The 24,296-nt window shown below is 40.5% G+C and overlaps 1 protein-coding gene across 21 annotated transcripts in view; it reads left to right on the forward strand.

Moving 5' to 3' along the window:
• Positions 1-24,296, forward strand: part of KATNAL2 (katanin catalytic subunit A1 like 2) — a 184,650-nt gene that overhangs the window by 3,677 nt on the left and 156,677 nt on the right. The window lies entirely within an intron of this gene.

Genomic DNA, 24,296 nt, shown 5'->3' on the forward strand with positions numbered 1-24,296 from the left:
GCACCCGCCACCATGCCCAGCTAATTTTTGTACTTTTAGTAGAGATGGGGTTTCACCGTCTTGGTCAGGCTAGTCTTGAACTCCTGACCTCGTGATCCACCTGCCTTGGCCTCCCAAAGTGCTGGGATTACAGGCATGAGCTACTGCGCCTGGCATAAAGTGTCATAAGATTTTAATACACGAAGTCAAAAATCTCAGGAGTAGCTTTTCCATTTACTAGCTGTGTAACTTTAGCAAAGTCTCAACTTAATTTTTCTAATCTGGAAAAGAAAAATGACTACACCTATCTCAGGATGAGATACCTGATCTGATAGATCAGGTGTATGAGTGTACTCTGTAAATTTATAAAGTGAAAGATGGTAAATTTTTTGTATCTAAACAGCTAAGCTGATTTTGAATCTAAACAGCTGATAAACACATAACAAAAAAAAAAAAGCACTTCATTAAGAAACATAATTAAGAACCATATGATATATCCTAGTAATTTTAGCAAAGAGCATTCCAACCTGGTTGGACCAACCATGTAACCTTGAGTTTAGTTCCAAGCACCTGTCTTCTTAATCCTTTCACATCTGTCTCTGAACCCATTAGACTTTACTGATTTTAATATCTCTCTTTTCCTTCCCACTGATTACTTCCTCTCTCCCTATAACAGTGCTCAGGCCTCCCAGATGTTTTCCAAGCCACTTTACTTCTTTTGCTAAGCATATATCTATTTATATCACATTTCCTAACTCCTACACACTTTGCCAATACTGTCTTAGTCTTAGACTTTACCAAAACTAGTATCAAGGAAACTGAACAAGGAATTAAAAAAAAATTTTTCCTCACTTTTTTTTTTTTTTTTTGAGACAGGGTCTCACTCTGTCGCCCAGGCTAGAGTGCAGTGGCATGATCACAGCTCACTGCAACCTTCACCTCCCAGCTCAAGCAGTCTTCGTACCTCAGCCTCCCAAGTAGCTGGGACCACGGGCACACCACCACTCTCAGCTAATTTTTGTATCTTTTGTAGAGACAGGGTTTCACCATGTTGCCCAGGCTGTTTCAAACTCCTGGATTTAAATGATCCTCCCACCTTGGCCTCCCAAAGTGCTAGGATTACTGATGTGAGCCGCTGCTCCCGGCCTCAACTTTTTATTCTGAAAACCTTAATCACAAATTTGTTTCTTCTCCACTTTCACTGCATCACTTGACTAGCCTTTTAAAAAAAAAAACCAAATAATTAAAAAATAAAAAGTTGAGGCTGGGCGCGGTGGCTCACACCTATATTCCCAGCACTTCGGGAGGCTGAGGTGGGTGGATCGCCTGAGGTCGGGAGTTCGAGACTAGCCTGACCAACGTGGTGAAACCTCATGTCTATCCGCTAAAGAAATAAAATGAGCCAAGTGTGGTGGTGCATGCCTGTAATCCTAGCAACTTGGGAGGCTGAAGCAGGAGAATCGCTTGAACCCAGGAGGCAGAGGTTGCAGTGAGTGGAGATCATGCCATTGCATTCCAACCTGGGCAACAAAAGTGAAACTCCATCTCAAAAATAAATAAATAATAAAAAGTTGAAACATAAACTTCGAAAGCATAGCAGTATGGTTATCTGTATAAGATTTATAATTTAATATATAATATCATATTAATATAATATATATTTAATATATAATATTATATATGATATTGTATATATAATATAGTTAAATCCTTAGATCTGAAGTAAACACTTCAGTCCATATAGAAAAATTCTTATCAACATACAGAACTTTTTTTTTTTAGACCTTTAGTAAGATCTCAACTTATTTTTTTTTTAATTTTATTATTATTATACTTTAAGTTTTAGGGTACATGTGCACAACGTGCAGGTTTGTTACATATGTATACATGTGCCATGTTGGTGTGCTGCACCCATTAACTCGTCATTTAGCATTAGGTATATCTCCTAATGCTATCCCTCCCCCCTCCCCCCACCCCACAACAGTCCCCGTCCCCGGTGTGTGATGTTCCCCTTCCTGTGTCCATGTGTTCTCATTGTTCAATTCCCACCTGTGAGTGAGAACATGTGGTGTTTGGTTTTTTGTCCTTGCGATAGTTTGCTGAGAATGATGGTTTCCAGTTTCATCCATGTCCCTACAAAGGACATGAACTCATCATTTTTTATGGCTGCATAGTATTCCATGGTGTATATGTGCCACATTTTCTTAATCCAGTCTGTCATTGTTGGACATTTAGGTTGGTTCCAAGTCTTTGCTATTGTGAATAGTGCCTCTGTAAACATACATACATGTGCATGTGTCTTTATAGCAGCATGATTTATAATCCTTTGGGTATATACCCAGTAATGGGACGGCTGGGTCAAATGGTATTTCTAGTTCTAGATCCCTGAGGAATCGCCACACTGACTTCCACAATGGTTGAACTAGTTTACAGTCCCACCAACATTGTCAAAGTGTTCCAGCTGCTCCACATCCTCTCCAGCACCTATTGTCTCCTGACTTTTTAATGATCGACATTCTAACTGGTGGGAGATGGTATCTCATTGTGGTTTTGATTTGTATTTCTCTGATGGCCAGTGATGATGAGCATTTTTTCATGTGTCTTTTGGCTGCATAAATGTCTTCTTTTGAGACGTGTCTGTTCATATCCTTTGCCCACTTTTTGATAGGGTTGTTTGTTTTTTTCTTGTAAATTTGTTTGAGTTCATTGTAGATTCTGGATATTAGCCCTTTGTTGGATGAGTAGGTTGCAAAAATTTTCTCCCATTCTGTAGGTTGCCTGTTCACTCTGATGCTAGTTTCTTTCACTGTGCAGAAGCTCTTTAGTTTAATTAGATTCCATTTGTCAATTTTGGCTTTTGTTGCCATTGCTTTTGGTGTTTTAGACATGAAGTCCTTGCCCATGCCTATGTCCTGAATGGTATTGCCTAGGTTTTCTTCTAGGGTTTTTATGGTTTTAGGTCTAACATTTAAGTCTTTAATCCATCTTGAATTTATTTTTGTATAAGGTGTAAGGGAGGGATCCAGTTTCAGCTTTCTGCATATGGCTAGCCAGTTTTCCCAGCACCATTTATTAAATAGGGAATCCTTTCCCCATTGCTTGTTTTTGTCAGGTTTGTCAAAGATCAGATAGTTGTAGATATGCAGCATTATTTCTGAGGGCTCTGTTCTGTTACATTGGTCTATATCTCTGTTTTGGTACCAGTACCACACTGTTTTAGTTACTGTGGCCTTGTAGTATAGTTTGAAGTCAGGTAATGTGATGACTCCAGCTTTGTTCTTTTGGCTTAGGATTGATTTGACAATGCAGGCTCTTTTTTGGTTCCATATGAACTTTAAAGTAGTTTTTTTCTAATTCTGTGAAGAAAGTCATTGATAGCTTGATGGGGAAGGCATTGAATCTATAAATTACTTTGGGCAGTATGGCCATTTTCATGATATTGATTCTTCCTACCCATGAGCATGGAATGTTCTTCCATTTGTTTGTATCCTCTTGTATTTCGTTGAGCAGTGGTTTGTAGTTCTCCTTGAAGAGGTGCTTCACATCCCTTGTAAGTTGGATTCAATACCTTGTAAGGTATTTTATTCTCTTTGAAGCAATTGTGAATGGGAGTTCACTCACGATTTGGCTGTCTGTGTGTTATTGGTGTATAAGAATGCTTGCGATTTTTGTACATTGATTTTGTATCCTGAGACTTTGCTGAAGTTGCTTATCAGCTTGAGGAGATTTTGGGCTGAGATGATGGGGTTTTCTAAATATACAATCATGTCATCTGCAAACAGGGACAATTTGACTTCCTCTTTTCCCAATTGAATACCCTTTTTTTCCTTCTCCTGCCTGATTGCCCTGGCCAGAACTTCCAACAGTACGTTGAATGGGAGTGGTGAGAGAGGGCATCCCTGTCTTGTGCCAGTTTTCAAAGGGAATGCTCCAGTTTTTGCCCATTCAGTATGATATTGGCTGTGGGTTTCTCATAGATAGCTCTTATTATTTTGAGATACGTCCCATCAGTACCTAATTTATTGAGAGTTTTTAGCATGAAGTGTTGTTGAATTTTGTCAAAGGCCTTTTCTGCATCTATTGAGATAATCATGTGGTTTTTGTCTTTGGTTCTGTTTATATGTTGGATTACATTCATTGATTTGCATATGTTGAACCAGCCTTGCATCCCAGGGATGAAGCCCACTTGATCATGGTGGATAAGCTTTTTGATATGCTGCTGGATTCGGTTTGCCAGTATTTTATTGAGGATTTTTGCATCAGTGTTCATCAAGGATATTGGTCTAAAATTCTCTTTTTTTGGTTGTGTCTCTGCCAGGCTTTGGTGTCAGGATGATGCTGGCCTCATAAAATGAGTTATGGAGGATTCCCTCTTTTTCTATTGATTGGAATAGTTTCAGAAGGCATGGTACCAGCTCCTCTTTGTACCTCTGGTAGAATTCGGCTGTGAATCCATGTGGTCCTGGACTTTTTTTTGGTTGTTAAGCTATTGATAATTGCCTCAATTTCAGAGCCTGTTATTGGTCTATTCAGAGATTCAACTTCTTCCTGGTTTAGTCTTGGGAGGATGTATGTGTCGAGGAATTTATCCATTTCTTCTAGATTTTCTAGTTTATTTGCGTAGAGGTGTTTATAGTATTCTCTGATGGTAGTTTGTATTTCTGTGGGATCGGTGGTGATATCCCCTTTATCATTTTTTATTGCGTCTATTTGATTCTTCTCTCTTTTCTTCTTTATTAGTCTTCCTAGCGGTCTATCAATTTTGTTGATCTTTTCAAAAAACCAGCTCCTGGATTCATTAATTTTTTGAAGGGTTTTTTGTGTCTCTATTTCCTACAGTTCTGCTCTGATCTTAGTTATTTCTTGCCTTCTGCTAGCTTTTGAATGTGTTTGCTCTTGCTTTTCTAGTTCTTTTAATTGTGATGTTAGGGTGTCAATTTTAGATCTTTCCTGCTTTCTCTTGTGGGCATTTAGTACTATAAATTTCCCTCTACACACTGCTTTGAATGTGTCCCAGAGATTCTGGTATGTTGTGTGTTTTTTCTCGTTGGTTTCAAAGAACATCTTTATTTCTGCCTTCATTTTGTTATTTACCCAGTAGTCATTCAGGAGCAGGTTGTTCAGTTTCCTTGTAGTTGAGTGGTTTTGAGTGAGTTTCTTAATCCTGAGTTCTAGTTTGATTGCACTGTGGTCTGAGAGACAGTTTGTTATAATTGCTGTTCTTTTACATTTGCTGAGAAGTGCTTTACTTCCAACTATGTGGTCAATTTTGGAGTAGGTGTGGTGTGGTGCTGAAAAGAATGTATATTCTGTTGATTTGAGGTGGAGAGTTCTGTAGATGTCTATTAGGTCCGCTTGGTGCAGAGCTGAGTTCAATTCCTGGGTATCCTTGCTAACTTTCTGTCTCATTGATCTGTCTAATGTTGACAGTGGGGTGTGAAAGTCTCCCATTATTATTGTGTGGGAGTCTAAGTCTCTTTGTAGGTCACAAAGGACTTGCTTTATGAATCTGGGTGCTCCTGTATTGGGTGCATATATATTTAGGATAGTTAGCTCTTCTTGTTGAATTGATCCCTTTACCATTATGTAATGGCCTTCTTTGTCTCTTTTGATCTTTGTTGGTTTAAAGTTTGTTTTATCAGAGACTAGGATTGCAACCCCTGTCTTTTTCTGTTTTCCATTTGCTTGGTAGATCTTCCTCCATCCCTTATTTTGAGCCTATGTGTGTCTCTGCATGTGAGATGGGTTTCCTGAATACAGCACGCTGATGGGTCTTGACTTTTTATCCAATTTTCCAGTCTGTGTCTTTTAATTGGAGCATTTAGCCCATTTACATTTAAAGTTAATATTGTTATGTGTGAATTTGATCCTGTCATTATGATGTTAGCTGGTTATTTTGCTTGTTAGTTGGTGCAGTTTCTTCTTAGCCTTGATGGTGTTTACAATTTGGCATGTTTTTGCAGTGGCTGGTACTGGTTGTTCCTTTCCATGTTTAGTGCTTCCTTCAGGAGCTCTTTTAGGGCAGGCCTCGTGGTGACAAAATCTCTCAGCATCTGCTTGTCTGTAAAGTATTTTATTTCTCCTTCACTTATGATGCTTAGTTTGGCTGGATATGAGATTCTGGGTCGAAAATTCTTTTCTTTAAGAATGTTGAATATTGGTCCCCACTCTCTTCTGGCTTGTAGAGTTTCTGCTGAGACATCAGCAGTTAGTCTGATGGGCTTCCCTTTGTGGGTAACCCGACCTTTCTCTCTGTCTGCCCTTAACATTTTTTCCTTCATTTCAACTTTGGTGAATCTGACAATTATGTGTCTTGGAATTGCTCTTCTCGAGGAGTATTTTTGTGGCATTCACTGTATTTCCTGAATCTGAATGTTGGCCTGCCTTGCTAGATTGGGGAAGTTCTCCTGGATAATATCCTGCAGAGTGTTTTCCAACTTGGTTCCATTCTCCCCGTCATTTTCAGGTACACCAATCAGACGTAGATTTGGTCTTTTCACATAGTCCTATATTTCTTGGAGGCTTTGTTCGTTTCTTTTTATTCTTTTTTCTCTACACTTCTCTTCTCGCTTCATTTCATTCATTTCGTGTTCCATCACTGATACCCTTTCTTCCAGTTGATTGCATCGGCTACTGAGCCTTCTGCATTCGTCACGTAGCTCTTGTGCCTTGGTTTTCAGCTCCATCAGGTCCTTTAAGGACTTCTCTGCATTGGTTATTCTAGTTATCCATTCGTCTAATTTTTTTTCAAAGCTTTTAACTTCTTTGCCATTGGTTCGAATTTCCTCCTGTAGCTCGGAGTAGTTTGATCGTCTGAAGCCTTCTTCTCTCAACTCGTCAAAGTCATTCTCCATCCAGCTTTGTTCCGTTGCTGGTGAGGAGCTGCGTTCCTTTGGAGGAGGAGAGGCACTGTGATTTTTAGAGTTTCCGGTTTTTCTACCCTGTTTTTTTCCCATCTTTGTGGTTTTATCTACCTTTGGTCTTTGATGATGGTGACGTACAGATGGGTTTTTGGTGTGGATGTCCTTTCTGTTTGTTAGTTTTCCTTCTACCAGACAGGACCCTCAGCTGCAGGTGTGTTGGAATTTGCTAGAGGTCCACTCCAGACCCTGTTTGCCTGGGTATCAGCAGCGGTGGCTGCAGAACAGCGGATATTGTGAACTGCAGATGCTGCTGCCTGATCGTTCCTCTGGAAGTTTTGTTTCAGAAGAGTACCTGGCCGTGTGAGGTGTCAGTCTGCCCCTACTGGGGGGTGCCTGCCAGTTAGGCTACTCGGGGGTCAGGGACCCACTTGAGGAGGCAGTGTGCCTGATTTCAGATCTGAAGCTGCATGCTGGGAGAACCACTACTCTCTTCAAAGCTCAGTTGGAAATGCAGAAATCACCTGTCTTCTGCATCACTCACGCTGGGAGATGTGGACCGGAGCTGTTCCTATTTGGCCATCTTGGCTCCTCCCCCCTGATACGGAACATTTTCATCAACCCCAGGAAGATCCCTATTCCCCCTTCCCAGTCAAACCTCCCACCAGAAACAACTTTTGATCTGATTTCTTTCTCTTTTTTTTGAGACAGAGTCTCACTCTGTTGCCCAGCCTGGAGTGCAATGGCACGATCTTGGCTCGCTGCAACCTCCACCTCCAGAGTTCAAGCAATTTTCCTGCCTCAGCCTCCTGAGTAGCTGTTATTACAGGCATGCGCCACCACGCCCTGCTAATTTTTTTTGTACTTTTAGTAGAGACGGGTTTTCACCATTTGGGCAGGCTGGTCTCGAACTCCTGACCTTGTGATTCACCCACCTCGGCCTCCCAAAGTGCCGGGATTACAGGCGTGAGCCACTGTGCCCGGCTTTGCTCTGATTTCTAATACTAAAGTTTAGTTTTTTATATTTTAACATTTAATATAAGTGGAATCATACAGCGTATACTCTTCTGCTTGGCTTTTTAAATTCAGCATAAATTATTTGAGGTTGACATGTTGCATATTTCAATTCTTTTTTTGTTTTTTTATTTTTTGAGACAGAGTCTCACTCTGTTGCCCAGGCTGGAGTGCAATGGCATGATCGCAGCTCACTGCAACCTCCACCTTCTGGGTTCAAGCAATTCTCCTGCCTCAGCCTCCCAAGTAGCTGGGCCTACAGGTGTGTGCCACCATGCCCAGCAAATTGTTGTATTTTTAGTAGAGACGGAGTTTCACCATGTTGGCCAGGCTGATCTCAAACTCCTGGCCTCAGGTGATCCACCTGCCTCAGCCTCCCGAAGTGCTGGGATTGCAGGCATGGGCTATCACGCTTGGCCACAATTCATTTCTTTTTATTGCTGAGTAGTATTCTATTGTATGAATAGACCCCAACTTATCCTTTCTCTTGCTGATGGACATTTAAGTTGTTTCCAGGTTTTGATTATTGTAAATAAATGCTATCAACTTTCTTATACGGGGCATTTTATAGATATCTTATTTTATTTCTCTAAAATAAATATTTAAGAATGGAATTGCTGGAACATAGAGAAGAAGTATGTTTAAATTTTTTATTTATTTATTTTTTTGAGACAGAGTTTCACTCTTGTCACCCGGGCTAGAGTACAGTGATGTGATCTCAGCTTACTGCAACCTCTGCCTCCCAGGTTTGAGTGATTCTCCTGTCTCAGTCTCCCGAGTAGGTGGGATTACAGGCGCATGCCACCACGCCGGGCTAATTTTTGTACTTTTAGTGGAGACAGTGTTTCACCATGTTGGCCAGGCTGGTCTCGAACACTTGACATCAGGTGATCCGCCCTCGTCGACCCCCAAAGTGCTGGGATTACAGGCATGAGTCACTGCACCTGGTCCTTAACTTTTTACTAAACTGTCAAATATTTATACAACTTTTCAGACTCTCACCAGCATTGTATGTGGTTAATAACTTTTCAATGATCAAATATTTTTGCTCAACATTTTCCTTAACCTTGAAATTATTTGATAATATTGAATATCAGCCCTTCTTTGAAATGCTTGTTCTTGACTTCATGATAGAACTCTGTTGTCTTCTTTCTATTTTGCCAAGTTATCTCTATATGCCTCTTTTTACATATCACTAATATATTCAGTTTCAAATATCTTCTATTCTCATAATTTGTCACTACTATTAAAATTTATAGACTATGAGTTAAATGACCTAGATTCCAGAACAGAACCTTCTTCAAGATATCTTTTTGACATAGATTCATAACATACACTAGTAGGATGAAGATAAATCTGCTTTTAGAGGGAATTTATGTCCAGTGAATGAAGTTAGAAAAAAGAAAAGCAGGCCGGGTGCGACGGCTCACACCTATAATCCCAGCACTATGGGAGGCCGAGGCAGGTGGATCACCTGAGGTCAGGAGTTCGAGACCAGCCTGGCCAACATGGTGAAACCCTGTCTCTACTGAAAATACAAAAATTAGTGGGTGTTGTGGCAGGCACCTGTAATTCCAGCTAGTTGGGAGGCTGAGGCAGGAGGATTGCTTGAACCTGGGAGGTGTAGGTTGCAGTGAGCAACCATTGCACCTCAGCTTGGGTGACAGAGTGAGACTCCATGTTAAAAAAAATAAATAGGCCAGGCGCAGTGGTTCACACCTGTAATCCCAGCACTTTGGGAGGCCAAGGCAGGCAGGTCATGAGGTCAGGAGTTTGAGACCAGCCTGGCCAACATGGTGAAACCTGGTCTCTCCTAAAAATACAAACAAATTAGCCAGGCATGGTGGCACACGCCTGTAGTCCTAGCTACTCGGGAGGCTGAAGAAGAATTGCTTGAACCCAGGATGCGGAGGTTTCAGTGAGCTGAGATCATGCCACTGCACTCCAGCCTTGGCAATAGAGTGAGACTCCGTCTCAGGAAATAATAATAATAATAATAATAATAATAATAATAATAAATAAATAAATTAGCCAGGCGTGGTGACATGTGCCTGTAGTACTAGCTACTTGGGAGGCTGAGGCAGAAGAATCGTTTGAACCCAGGAAGCGGAGGTTGCAGTGAGCTGAGATCGCTCCACTGCACTCCAGCCTGGGCAACAGAGTGAGATTCCGTCTCAAAATAAAAAAAGAAATAAATCAAAATAAAATAAAAAATTTAAAATTAAATAGAATTCAAAATTTAAAAAGGCAGGGTGTGGTGGCTCACACCTGTAATCCTAGCACTTTGGGAGGCAGAGGTGGGTGGATCACCTGAGGTCAGGAGTTCGAGACCAGCCTGGCCAACATGGTGAAACCCCGTTTCTACTAAAAATACAAAAAATTAGCTGGGCGTGGTCGCACACACCTGTGGTCAAAGCTACTCAGGAGACTGAGGCAGGAGAATCACTTGAATTCAGGAGGCGGAGGTTGCAGTGAGTCAAAATCATACCATTGCACTCCGGCCTGGACAACAGAGCAAGACTGTCAGAAAGAAAGAAAGAGAGGGAAAGAGAGAAAGAAAGAAAGAGGAAGGAAGGAAGAGAGAGAGAAAGAGAGAAAAAAGAGAGAGAGAGGGAGAGGGGGAGGGAGGAAATAAAGGTAGAATAAAAGAAATAAAGACAGCAGTAGAAAATAATTAAATGGAAAAAACAATAAAATAGAGACCAATACAGTTAAAGTGTTGCTCTTTGAAAGCAATTATAAATAGACAAATCTCTAGCAAGAATTTTCTTTTTTTTTCTTGTTTTCTTTTCTTTTCTTTTTTTTTTTGAGACGGGGTCTCGTTCTGTTGCCAGGCTGGAGTGCACTGGCGATCTTGGCTCACTGTAACCTCCGACTCCTGGGTTCAAGTGATTCTCCCACCTCAGCCTCCCAAGTAGCTGGGATTACAGGTGCGTGCTACCATGCCCGGCTAATTTTTTTGTATTTTTAGTAGAGACAGGGTTTCACTGTGTTAGCCAGGATGGTCTCGATCTCCTGACCTCGTGATCCGCCCGCCTTGGCCTCCCAAAGTGCTGGGATTACAGGCGTGAGCCACCACGCCCGTCCCACTAGCAAGAATTTTCAAGAAAAGCATTAGAAGACAATAACAAAATTTACATTTAGGAGCCAACCATAATTATAGATTCTGCAGAAATTTTAAAATAAAAGAATAAATAGTTTCCTTCCAATAAATATGAGAACACAGAAGAAATGTACACAAACTACTAAAAGAAATTAAAAAATGAAAGGGCTGGGCACGGTGGCTCACACCTGTAATTCCAGCACTTTAGGAGACCAAGGCGAGTGGATTACCTGAGGTCAGGAGTTTGAGACCAGCCTGGCCAATGTGGTGAAACACTGTGTGTAATAAAAATACAAAAACTAGTTGGCATGGTGCTGTGCGCCTGTATGCACCGCCACTCAGGAGGCTGAGGCATGAGAATCACTTGAACCCAGGAGGCGGAGGTTGCAGTAAGCCGAGATCGTGCCACTGCACTCTAGCTTGGGCAACAGAGCAAGACTCTGTCTCAAAAAAAAAAAAAAAAAAAAAAAAGCATTCTTCACTCATTTCGCAAGGCTATTATAACTTTGATGCCAAAACCAGGCAAAGGTAGTTTTTTTGTTTGCTTGTTTGTTTTGAGACAGAGTCTTGCTCTGTTGCCCAGACTGGAGTGCAATGGTGCGATCTCAGCTCACTGCAACCTCTGCCTTCTGGGTTCAAGCGATTCTCCTGCCTCAACCTCCTTAGTAACTGGGATTACAGGCGCGCTACCATGCCCCACTAATTTTTGTATTTTTAATAGAGACAGGGTTTCACTATGTTGGCCAGGCTGGTCTCAAACTCCTGACCTCAGGTGATCCGCCCTCCTCGGCCTCCAAAAGTGCTGGGATTACAGGCGTTAGCCACTGCACCCAGCCAAGGTAGTTTTTTAAATCTCACTTATAAACTGCAAATTTACCTCAGGAATTCAAGGACGATCTCATGTTAACATATATATTTTATAACTTGGTAATTTGATCCAACTCACCATCTGAGGACAACAAAAAAGCTGGATTAAAAAAAATAGAAGCAAATATCTAATATAAGGAATTATCTGGCCAAAATCTAGATGACGATATTCAAGGAAATTAAGCCAAGCATTTTTTCTGAAGGAATTTACCAATGCAAAGGCAAAATTGACAAACTGAGTTGTGATTTTTGCAAGATTATGGGGCAAGAGAAAAAGAAATCTAAATCTAGTGCCCACAGGAGATGAAGAGGTTAATAAACATGCTCCATATTTAATATGAGGCCCCATAGGGTAAAAATAAACCAGAGGTAGGTCAGCACTTCCACAAATTGCAGTCTGGTTTTATACTAATCAGGAAATCTGAAACCCAGAATGTTGAATAAACTGGTCCTAGACTGGCAATTCATAGGCACCAGGCATAAACAAACAAAAATTATCTCCACAATAAGGTATCATCAGCCTAAATGTCAAAATATCTTTTTTTAAAATTTTATTATTATTATACTTTAAGTTTTAGGGTACATGTGCACAATGTGCAGGTTTGTTACATATGTATACATGTGCCATGTTGGTGTGCTGCACCCATTAACTCGTCATTTAGCATTAGGTATATCCCCTAATGGCTATCCCTCCCCCCTCCCCCCACCCCATAACAGTCCCCGTCCCCAGTGTGTGATGTTCCCCTTCCTGTGTCCATGTGTTCTCATTGTTCAATTCCCACCTATGAGTGAGAACATGTGGTGTTTGGTTTTTTGTCCTTGCGATAGTTTGCTGAGAATGATGGTTTCCAGTTTCATCCATGTCCCTACAAAGGACATGAACTCATCATTTTTTATGGCTGCATAGTATTCCATGGTGTATATGTGCCACATTTTCTTAATCCAGTCTGTCATTGTTGGACATTTAGGTTGGTTCCAAGTCTTTGCTATTGTGAATAGTGCCGCTATAAACACACGTGTGCGTGTGTCTTTATAGCAGCATGATTTATAGTCCTTTGGGTATATACCCAGTAATGGGATGGCTGGGTCAAATGGTATTTCTAGTTCTAGATCTCTGAGGAATCGCCACACTGACTTCCACAATGGTTGAACTAGTTTACAGTCCCACCAACAGTGTCAAAGTGTTCCTATTGCTCCACATCCTCTCCAGCACCTGTTGTCTCCTGACTTTTTAATGATCGCCATTCTAACTGGTGCGAGATGGTATCTCATTGTGGTTTTGATTTGCATTTCTCTGATGGTCAGTGATGATGAGCATTTTTTCACGTGTCTTTTGGCTGCATAAATGTCTTCTTTTGAGAAGTGTCTGTTCATATCTTTCGCCCACTTTTTGATGGGGTTGTTTGCTTTTTTCTTGTAAATTTGTTTGAGTTCATTGTAGATTCTGGATATTAGCCCTTTGTCAGATGAGTAGGTTGCAAAAATTTTCTCCCATTCTGTAGGTTGCCTGTTCACTCTGATGCTAGTTTCTTTTGCTGTGCAGAAGCTCTTTAGTTTAATTAGATTCCATTTGTCAGTTTTGGCTTTTGTTGCCATTGCTTTTGGTGTTTTAGACATGAAGTCCTTGCCCATGCCTATGTCCTGAATGGTATTGCCTAGGTTTTCTTCTAGGGTTTTTATGGTTTTGGGTCTAACATGTAAGTCTTTAATCCATCTTGAATTAATTTTTGTATAAGGTGTAAGGAAGGGATCCAGTTTCAGCTTTCTACATATGTCTAGCCAGTTTTCCCAGCACCATTTATTAAATAGGGAATCCTTTCCCCATTGCTTGTTTTTGTCAGGTTTGTCAAGATCAGATAGTTGTAGATATGTGGCTAAATGTCAAAATATCTTATAAATAATTTGCTCAAAAAATGACCAGTATTTAGTCAAAAATTAGCAGACCATACATGGAAACAAACATTTTGAGTCAGAACTAACAGAAATGTCAAACAAAAGGAAACCTACCAGAGCAACCAGAAAAAGACTGCAATAAGAGCATGCTTACACATGTGCATGCTTGAAAAAAATAACCTAATAGAAACTCTAGAATTAATAGGTTTAAGAACCCAGTGTATAGATTTAATAGCATATTGCACACAGTTTAAGATAATTACTAACCAGAACACATGCTAGAAGACTACTTAGGGCCGCAACACCCACTGACTCCCTGAGTCAGCTAGGAGGAGAAACCAAGGCACAGGAAGCCCAACAGGAAGTAAACTCTGCAGCCTTGTTTTCCTGAGGAAGCTGCTGACAAAGTGGCCCAGCCAGCACAGTTATTTTAAGGAGGTGCCGCCACCTCTTTGGGGCAGCAAAAATATCTCTTCTGGAGCCTTCGAAGGCTAAATGGACTATATTGTCCAGGCTGGACTCGAACTCCTGAGCTCAAGCAAGACTTCCACCTCAGCCTCCAGAGTAGCTCGTACTACAGGCATGTGCCACTGCAACAGGATAGTTTTATGTATTTAAATAAGTTTACATTGAAAAAGAAAAAAAAAGAGCCCGGGCATGGTGGCTCACACCTGTAATCCCAGCACTTTGGGAGGGTGAGGTAGGCGGATCGCAAAGTCAGGTGTTCGAGGCCAGCCTGATCAACATGGTGAAACCCCATCTCTACTAAAAATACAAAAATTAGCCAGGCATGGTGGTGTGTGCCTGTAGTCCCAGCTACTCAGGAGGCTGAGGCAGGAGAATCACTTGAACCTGGGAGGCAGAGGTTGCAGTGAGCTGAGATTGCACCACTGCCCTCCAGCCTGGGCAACAGAGCAAGACTCCATCTCAAAATTTAAAAAAAAAGACCCTCTGGACCAGTAGGAACTATAAATGAACTATAAATATCTGTTGAGGATGCCATAGTTGAGACTTCCTTGAGTGACTTAAATTTACCAGTAAAATAAACAATTTCAAGTTTGTATGCACCTAATAATATGGCCTCAGTGTATGATACAGAACCACAATGAGAAACAGACAAAATCCACTTTTCTATGGTGGAACATTTTACCATACCTATCTCAGTAACTGAGCCCCAAAATCAAACAAAACATCATTAAAGATATAGATTTTTGAAATGACATGATTAACAAACATAACCCAATTTATATATTAATGTTCACAAATGCATTATTTCAAGTGCACGTGGATTATTTGTAAAAGTTTAACATACTCTGACAATAGAGCAAGTGCCCATAAATTTTAAAGAACTGAAATCATACAGAGTACAGTCTGTGCACAATTAAGCTAGAAGTCAATAATGAATAATAACCAGAAAATCTTAATTTTTATATTTAAAAATTAAGAAATACTTTTCTACATAACCTGGGGGTGCTGGGCATGGTGGTATGCACCTGTATTCTCAGCTATTCAAGAGGCTCAGGTGGGGGGATCGATTGAGCCCATAAGTTTGAGACCAGCTTGGGCAACATAGCGAGATTCCATCTCAAATGAATAATCTAGGGGTCAAAAGAGAAATCACCATGAAAATTTTAAAACTATTTACCTGAATGATGATGAAAATACTACATATCCAAATTTATGGGCCAGACACGGTGACTTATGCCTGTAATCCCAGCACTTTGGGAGGCTGAGGCAGGTGGATCACTTGAGATGAGGAGTTCGAGACCAGCCTGGCCAACATGGCGAAACCCCATCTCTACTAAAAATATTTAAAAAATTAGCCAAGTGTGGTGGCGGGTGCCTGTAATCCCAGCTACTCCGGAGGCTTAGGCAGGAGATTCGCTTGAACCCGGGAGGCGGAGGTTGCAGTGAGACAAGATCATGCCATTGCACTCCAGCCTGGGCAACAGAGCAAAACTTCTTCTCAAAAAGAAAAACAAAAAAATTACTAGGTATGCCAGAAAACAAGATTAAGTGACTATAAACCAATGTGGGAGGTTTGTGAGGAACTGCTAAAAATCTGTTTTTCACTCACCTCTCTATCAGGAAGGCTGTCATGAGGCAGTTTTTCATCACTTTCCAGGTTCTGATGAGGTGTTAGAAACCACTATAAGAGTATGAACTCTTGATATGGTCTGATGAGAATGTACTTTACCTCTGTGATCTTCCTAAATCGCATAACCCCAGTTTTTCATGAGAAAAACATAGACAAATTTCAATTGAGAGGCATTCTACAAAATACCTGTCCAGTACTCCTAAAAATATAAAGGTCATCAAAAACAAAGTCAGAGAAACTGTCACAGCCTAGAGGAGACTAAGGAGACATAATAGCTAAATGTTTTTTGTTTTTTAAAATTTTTATTATTATTATTTTCTATTTATTTTTATTTTTTAATAGCTAAATGTTATATGGTATCCTGGCTGGGATCCTGAAACAGAAAAGAACACTAGGTACAAACTAAAGAAATCTGAATAAAGTATGGGCTTTAGTTAATAATAATGTATCAATGTTTGTGTGATCTTTTTCACCAAGCTGCATATATACATGCTTCTAAATTCCCTCCAGCTTACCAATGTAACACACAAATTTTATCATTTCTGAGTTCTATGACCTGAAAAAGTTTAGGAAGCACTGACCTAGAGAAACTCTCATACATGTACATGTGCACTAGGAGACATGTACAAGGATATTTATTGCATCACTGTTTGTAATCGTGAAAAAATGAAAACTGAACCTGTCCATCAACATGATAGTAGATACTGTGATATATTCCTGCAAAAGAATACTATGTGGGCCAGGCTCGGTGACTTGCACCTGTAATCCTAGCACTCTGAGAAGCCGAGGCAGGAGGATCACTTGAGCCCAGGAGTTAGAAACCAGCTGGGGCAACATAGGGAGATCTCCCTTCATACAAAAATTAGCTGTGCATGGTGGTGCACACCTGTAGTCCCAGCTAATTGGGAGGCTGAGGTGGGAGGATCACTTGAGCCTGGAAAGTTGAGGCTGCAGTGAGCCATGTTTGTGCCACTGCACTCCTGGGTGACAAAGCAAGACTCTGTCTCAAAAAATTAAAAAAAAATGCTTTGTGTAGAATAAGAAAAAAATGAATAAACTAGAGCTACATATAAAAACATGGGCAAATCTCAAAAACAATGTTAAATGAAAAGGTCAAGTTGGAAAAAGTTATCTACTCTTTATATATGTTTTTCAAAAAACATAAATGCTATATATTCATGGATATATACATATGTGATAAAAATTCAAAACCTTACATGTGAATGGTGACTATCAAAACCAGGACAGCTGGTACCTCTGGGGGATGGGAATAGGATCTGTAAAGGCTATTTTGGGTATTCCACTATACTTAACACAGTTTTCTTTCTTTAAAAAAGAAAGGATCTGAAGCAAATATGGCAAAATGTTAGGATTTGATAGATCTGGAAGGTGAATATATCAATGTATTATTCTCTACACTTGTATGCTTAAGATATTTTATAACAAAATAAACACAAAATATATCCTAACTCTGATCGTTCTTCAATACTTCCACTGCTACTGCCACCATTTGACCTGGATAACTTTCAGTAGCCATCTATCTTATCTCCTTGCTTTCTCTCTCATTCCATATAACATCCATGATAATATTTTATAAATATAAATTAGATCTCACCACCCTCCTATTCAAAATCTTTCAATGGGTTTACATTACTCTAAAAATAAGAATCAAATGCCTTATCACATTCCGCAGTCCCTTGTTTCAACTCCCTTTATCCCTGGTTCACTTAGTGTCACTATCCTTCCTCCAGTATCATTATCTATCCTCTCAAACTGCTTGATTTTCTTTATGGAATATATCACTACCTCAAATTATATTAATACATGTATTATGGGTATGATCAATTCCTGCACCCCCAGTCCTTTGCTAGCATATAAGTTCAGTGAAGGCAGGGACTTTATTCTCTATTCTATCCCCATTGATTGACTCACGTCAAGTATGAAATAAGTATTTTCAGAATAAATGACGAAATGAGGCTAGGCATGGTGGTTCATGCCTATAATCCCAGCACTTTGGGAGGCCGAGGCGGGCAGATCACAAGGTCAGGAGATCAAAACCATCCTGGCCAACATGGTGAAACCCCGTCTCTACTAAAAAGACAAAAATTAGCTGAGTGTGGTGGCACGCACCTGCAGTGCCTTGGGAGTCTGAGGCAGGAGAATTGTTGAACCCGGGAGGCGGAGGTTGCAGTGAACCGAGATTGTGCCACTGCACTCCAGCCTGAGCGGCAGAATGAGACTGCATCTCACAATTAAAAAAAAAAAAAAGAAAAGAAAAGAATGATTTATTTTCATTCAAAAAGAGAAGGGATGTCATCTCAGTGGTAAAATATGGCAGAATCAAATGTATGGAGGCTGAAACTTACAGGGTATTCTATCAACAGTCACAACACTAATAGCCAAAACCCATAAAGTATTCATCGTGTGCCAGGCATTTCCAAGCACTGGAATCACATACTTTTTGGGGTGCATGTCAACTTTGTTTTCCTTCTTATAGGCCCTGCAGACCTATTCATATCTGAGATCTTGCATGCTAGCCACAGTTGATTTGATTTGAAAGCAACACTGATTGAGAGAAAAGTCCATCCATTAGTCAGAGACAGCATTCTTTTCCTTGCAAGTTTGAGCTGATTGATGTGTAGGCTAAAGAAGTTTGAAGATGAGTCATACTAATGGCAGGACACTTTGGAGTGAAGGGAACAGCTGTTGAGGCCCCTGAAGCTACACTGGTCTCTGCCCTTTCTGAACCTTGTTGCTCAATGTTTCCTTGGCTTAATGACATAGGTTACCCTGCTATCCTTCCAGTAAAATACACCCCCTTCATTTTTAAAACTAACAGAGCTAAGTCTCTTTGTTTTGTTGATTATTCAGTCTCTTACAGACAAAAAAAGCAAACAATCTCTAAATCAAGGAAACTTGAGTAAGGCAGTCCTTTCCACTCCTTGTCTCATTTAATCCCTACCACATTATGAGAGATTATTACTGTTCCCATTTTGCATATGAAGAAACAAAGTTTGAACAGGTCCAATACCTTTCCTAAAATTAGGAGTTAGTGATGGGGCAAGATTCCAGCCCTGGCCTGTATGACTCCAGAGCAGAGCTCTGAACTGTTATGTGGGGCTACAGGAAGGCCAGTAATAGGACTGCAGTAGAGATGAAGTTGGGAAGACAGGGCCAACATTGTGATACCATTCAGGGTAAATTAGAAAATAACACAGTGATGGGGCAAAAACCAGATTTCACTCTGTTTGTGGATAAGATCCAATAAAAGCTCTTTAGTCTTACATTCCAACAATCTTTGGCAGAGAGGATATATACCAACACAGAATGTCTGTGTGATTAAAACGCTCTCTCTCTCTTTGACAGAGTTGACAGTGTTTAAAGAATGACAGGATACATTTTTTAGAAACATAGAAAAATGGAGTTTTAACAATATATATTCAGAGATGGCTTGTAGTTGACTGTCACAAGGTTTGCAGTTAGGCAGGCACATTTCTTGTCATTCTTGAAAACTCCCTCTCAATCTTGCATGCCTAGAGAAGCTCTGCTGAAGACAGTTTGACATGAATGAGGCTATGAAGACAGAATTCCAAGGTAGGGAGGGGACAAGGAGAGAAAGGGTTTGATGAATTAATGTATGATTTGAACAGAGTTAATAAAACAAAAAGCTTATGATTAGCCATAATCCCAGCATTTTGGGAGGCCGAGTTGGGACAATCACTTGAGGCCAGGAGTTTGACATCAGCCTGGCTAACATAGCTGGACTCCTGCTCTACAGAAAAATTTAAAAATTACCTGTGTATGGTGGCATACTCCTATAGTCCCACATAGTTGGGAGGCTGAGGTGGGAGGATCACTTGAACCCAGGAGTTCCAGGCTGCAGTGAGCTATTGTGATGGTGCCACTGCACTCCAGCCTGAGAGAGCAAGACCTTGTCTCCAAAAACAAACAAACAAAAAAACTTATGATTAAAAAACACTCAGAATCCCAGCGTTTTGGGATGCCAAAGCGGGTGGATTACCTGGGGTGAGGAGTTTGAAACCAGCTTGGCCAACATGGTGAAACCCCATCTCTAATAAAAATACAAAAATTAGTCAGGTGAGATGGCAAGCACCTGTAATCCCAGCTACTGGGGGTAGGGGTAGGGGGGCTGCTGAGGCAGGGGAATCGCTTGATCCCAGGAGGTGGGGGTTGCACTGAGCCGAGATCATGCCACTGCATGCCAACCTGGGCAACAAAGCCAGACTCCATCTCAAAAAACAAAAAACAAACAAACAAAAGCCCATTCAGAAATCACCTTACAAAACATCCTTGCTGTCACAGAAAGAATAAGTGGAATAATTGGTTTTCTCCAACTAAAATTGGATTATATTTTTTCAATACTTTAAAAAATAATGTGCCTTGGAGGTGGGGAGGGGTGGGGAGGAAAAGCAAAAAATAAAAATAAAAATAAAGTGCCTTGAGAAACAAATGGTAGGCTTGAGCTCTATTTTCGTATCCACCTAATAGTATAATTTTGTTTCTCTTTTTTGAGACAGGGTCTCACTCCTGTTGAGTAGTTGGGACTATAGGTGTGTAAATAATTTCTTCAAAAAAAGTGCTGCTTTCTTCCATTTTGGAGTCAATTTTGCACACATTAGAATGCCTAATATTATCCTAAAAAGGCTCTGTTTATTCTTGTTTTCCAACTGTTACACATAAAGTTTTGGTGTGGCAAAAGGAATAGCACTCGAATATAAAATTTTCTTTTTAATTCTCAGCAAGGCAAGTTACTTCTATAGAAGGGTGCCTACCCTTACAGATGGAGCAATGGTGAGCGCACACTTGGACAGGGGAGGGGAAGGGGTGCGCCTGTTGCTGTGTCGTTTCCTACCAGCTAGGGTTACAGGGCACAGGCTAAACTAATTCCGATTGGCTAATTTAAATTAAAGGGTGAGTGCTTTGGCGGGAGTCAGGGCAGAGCAGGTATCAGGTAATCGGAATGAGTCAAGGTGGAGTAGGTAATCGAAAAAGGTTGCTCTATGAGGAAGTTAAGTTTAAAAGTAGAAGGCAAATAATTGAAGATACTGACATATTCTTTGAAAAGAAATTTAGAACTCATATCTAATACAGCCTTTTGTTTTGTTCTCCATATATTTCACCTTGTATAGTTTCTGCTGTTACATTACCAAGTTCACTAATCCTTTTTCTGCAATTCTAATCAGCTGTTAAGCTCATCCAGTAAATTTTTAATTTCAGAAGTTCATTTTGGGTCAGGCATGGTGGCTCACGCCTGTAATCCCAACACTTTGGGAGGCCGAGGTGGGCGGATCACGAGGTCAGGAGATTGAGACCATCTTGGCCAACATGGAGAAACCCTGTCTCTACTAAAATACAAAAATTAGCCGGGCGTGGTGGTGCGTGCCTGTAATCCCAGCTACTTGGGAGGCTGAGGCAGGGGAATAACTTAAACCTTGGAGGCGGAGGTTGCAGTGAGCTGAGATTGCACCACTGCACTCCAGACTCCAGCCTGGCAACAGAGCAAGACTCCATCTCAAACAAACAAACAAACAAAAGTTCATTTTGTTCTATTATAATATCTTCTATCTGTCTCCTCATTATGCTCATAGTTTTCCTTTCTTGATTACAATAATAGTTATTTTAAAGTCCTTGTCTGCTATTCTATCATCTCTGTAATTCCTGGATATGATTCTAATGATTTATTTTTCTCCTGTTCATTGGTCACATTATTCTGCTTTTGTAATTTTTTTTTTTTGCATATCTAGCAATTTTGGTTGGATGTTGGATATTGTGAATAAGATGTTGTTGAGTACCTAAATTTTGTTTTCTTCCTTTAAAGAATGCCGGGTTTTATTTTGTCAGGCAGATAAGTTACTTGCAGATCAACTCTATCCTTTTGAGGTTTGTTTTAAACCTTGTCAGGGTTTCGCCAACAGGGTTTGGAGTAGTACTCTGATTACTCCAACTGTGAATTTCTCTCAGGCCTGTGGGAGTAATGGTAATTTTTCTACTTGCAGCACTCCGGAAGTTGTTCTTTCCGCGTTTTTTGATGTGTATGGTCTCATAGACTCTCATCCTTGGCACACACAAGTTAGAATCCATCCAAAGACCCAAGGAGACTCCTATACAAATTTCTAGAATTTTTTTTCTGTGTACTCATTCTTTTCCAGTAATTTTGTCAGGCATTTGAACTACAGCAACTCAATCTTGAATAGAAGCTGGGTAAAATGAGGCTGAGACCTACTGGGCTGCATTCTCAGAAGGTTAAGGCATTCTAAGTCACAGGATGAGATAGGAGGTCAGCACAAGATACAGAACAAAGACCTTGCTGATAAAACAGGTTGCAGTAAAGAAGCTGGCCAAAATCCACCAAAACCAAGATGGCGATGAGAGTGACCTCTGGTCATCCTCACTGCTACACTCCCACCAGCACCATGACAGTTTACAAATGCCATGGCAATGTTAGGAAGTTACCCAATATGGTCTAAAAAGGGGAGGCATGAATAATCCACCCCCTGTTTAGCATATCATCAAGAAATAACCAAAAAATGGGCAACCAGCAGCCATCAGGGCTGCCCTGCCTATGGAGTAGCCATTCCTTTACTTTCCTAATAAACTTGCTTTCACTTTATGGAGTCACCCTGAATTCTTCCTTGTGCAAGATTTAAGAACCCTCTTTTGGGGTCTGCATCAGGACTCCTTTCTGTTAACAATTTGTCCTGCAAGTTTAACCTGATTTAGCATCCCCAAACTTCTACCTCCCAACTTAGTGAAGCTAACATGCTCTATTTTTGTTCCTTCTTCCTGTACTAAAGTCCAAAAAGGACTTCCACACAGAGATCTAGCATGATTGTAGGGCTCACCTTAATTGTTTTTCTTCCCTCTTGTATCTCAGTTCTGTGATGCCTATTGTCTTATTTGCGAAAACTATTTCTCATTTATCTTGTCTGGTTTGTTGTGTAGTGGTCTAGTTTTCTAGTTGTTTAGAGTAGCAGGTCTAGTCCAGTACTAGTTACTTGATATGGCCAGAGGAAGAAGCTCTTTGAAAATATTTCTGTAGCAAAATGTTAACTAGCAGATTTGTGTCCCTTAGAAAAGACAATTTCAAAGGTTATAGTTTCATTGCCTTGTAAGACATTAACAAGTTTTGTATCTAACCTAGCAGTCTTATAAAGTTGGCCTTCTGTACCCATGGGTTTGGCATCTGGGGATTCAACCAACAAAGAATTGAAAATATTAAAAATAAGTAGTACAACAATAAAAATTAATACAAATAAAAAACGCGGTATAATGAGTATTAACACAGAGTTTACATTGTATTTGGTATTATAGCAATCTAGAGATGTTTTCAAGTATACGGGATGGGTTGGGAGCAGCGGTTCACACCTGTAATCCCAGCACTTTGGGAGGCCAAGGGGTGGGGGTGGATCACTTGAGGTCAGGAGTTCGAGACCAGCCTGGCCAACATGGTGAAACCCCACATGTACTAAAAATACAACAATTAGCTGGATGTGGTGGTAGGTGCCTGTAATCCCAGCTACTCAGGAGGCTGAGGCAGGAGAATCGCTTTAACTAGGAAGGCAGAGGTTGCAGTGAGCCGAGATCACGCCACTGCACTCCAGGCTGAGCAACAGAGCGAGACTTCGTCTCAAAATAAATAAATAAATAAAAATAAAAAATAAAGTATATGGAAATTAGCTGGGCGTGGTGGCGTGCACTTGTAATCCCAGCTACTCAGGAGACTGAGGCAGAGAATTGCTTGAATCCGGGAGGCGGAGGTTGCAGTGAACCAAGATCGTGCAACTGCACTCCAGCCTGGGCAACAGAGCAAGACTCTGTCTCAAAAAATAAATAAATAAATAAATAAAGTATACAGGATGATGTGCGTACTTACATGCAAGTAGCATGGCATTTCACATAAGGATCCCCAACTTTGGTATCAGTGGGAACCATAGAACCAGTTTCCAGTAGATGCTAAGGGACACTATACTAACATTGTTTTCTAAAAATGTCTGTAAATATTCAGTTCCTTATAATGCTCTTTAAACCAGCTTTACCATCTTATTGGCTCCCTCATTAATGAGTTAGGCAAAATCATTGACAGGTGTTCATTCATATCAAAGAATCACATTTTTAACTTTTTGAAAACCATATGTCAACAAAACAATGTGATAAGTGCAGTATGAAAAGTATGTTGTGGAATCAGGAACTAATTTGTTCTCTGCCTAAGCTTCGCCTAGGTTAAGTATAGTGATTGTTAGAAGAAAACGCCATTGAGTTATCCTAGAAAGTGACATTTGAGCTGTCTTAGCAGGCAATATAGACTTTTCTTATGCAGCAGGGGTGAGAGTGGTTCTCCAAGCCAAATAAACTACTCATTAGTCATTCACAAGCATTGTAAGCAGTTCGCTTGTGTTAGAGTGGGGTTGCCTGTATCCAGGTGGGAATTAGAGGTGAGACTGGACAGGAAGGGTGGAAGCAA

The sequence above is a fragment of the Homo sapiens genome, chromosome 18 (genome assembly GCF_000001405.40).
Source record: "Homo sapiens chromosome 18, GRCh38.p14 Primary Assembly".
NCBI classification, from domain to species: Eukaryota; Metazoa; Chordata; class Mammalia; order Primates; family Hominidae; genus Homo; species Homo sapiens.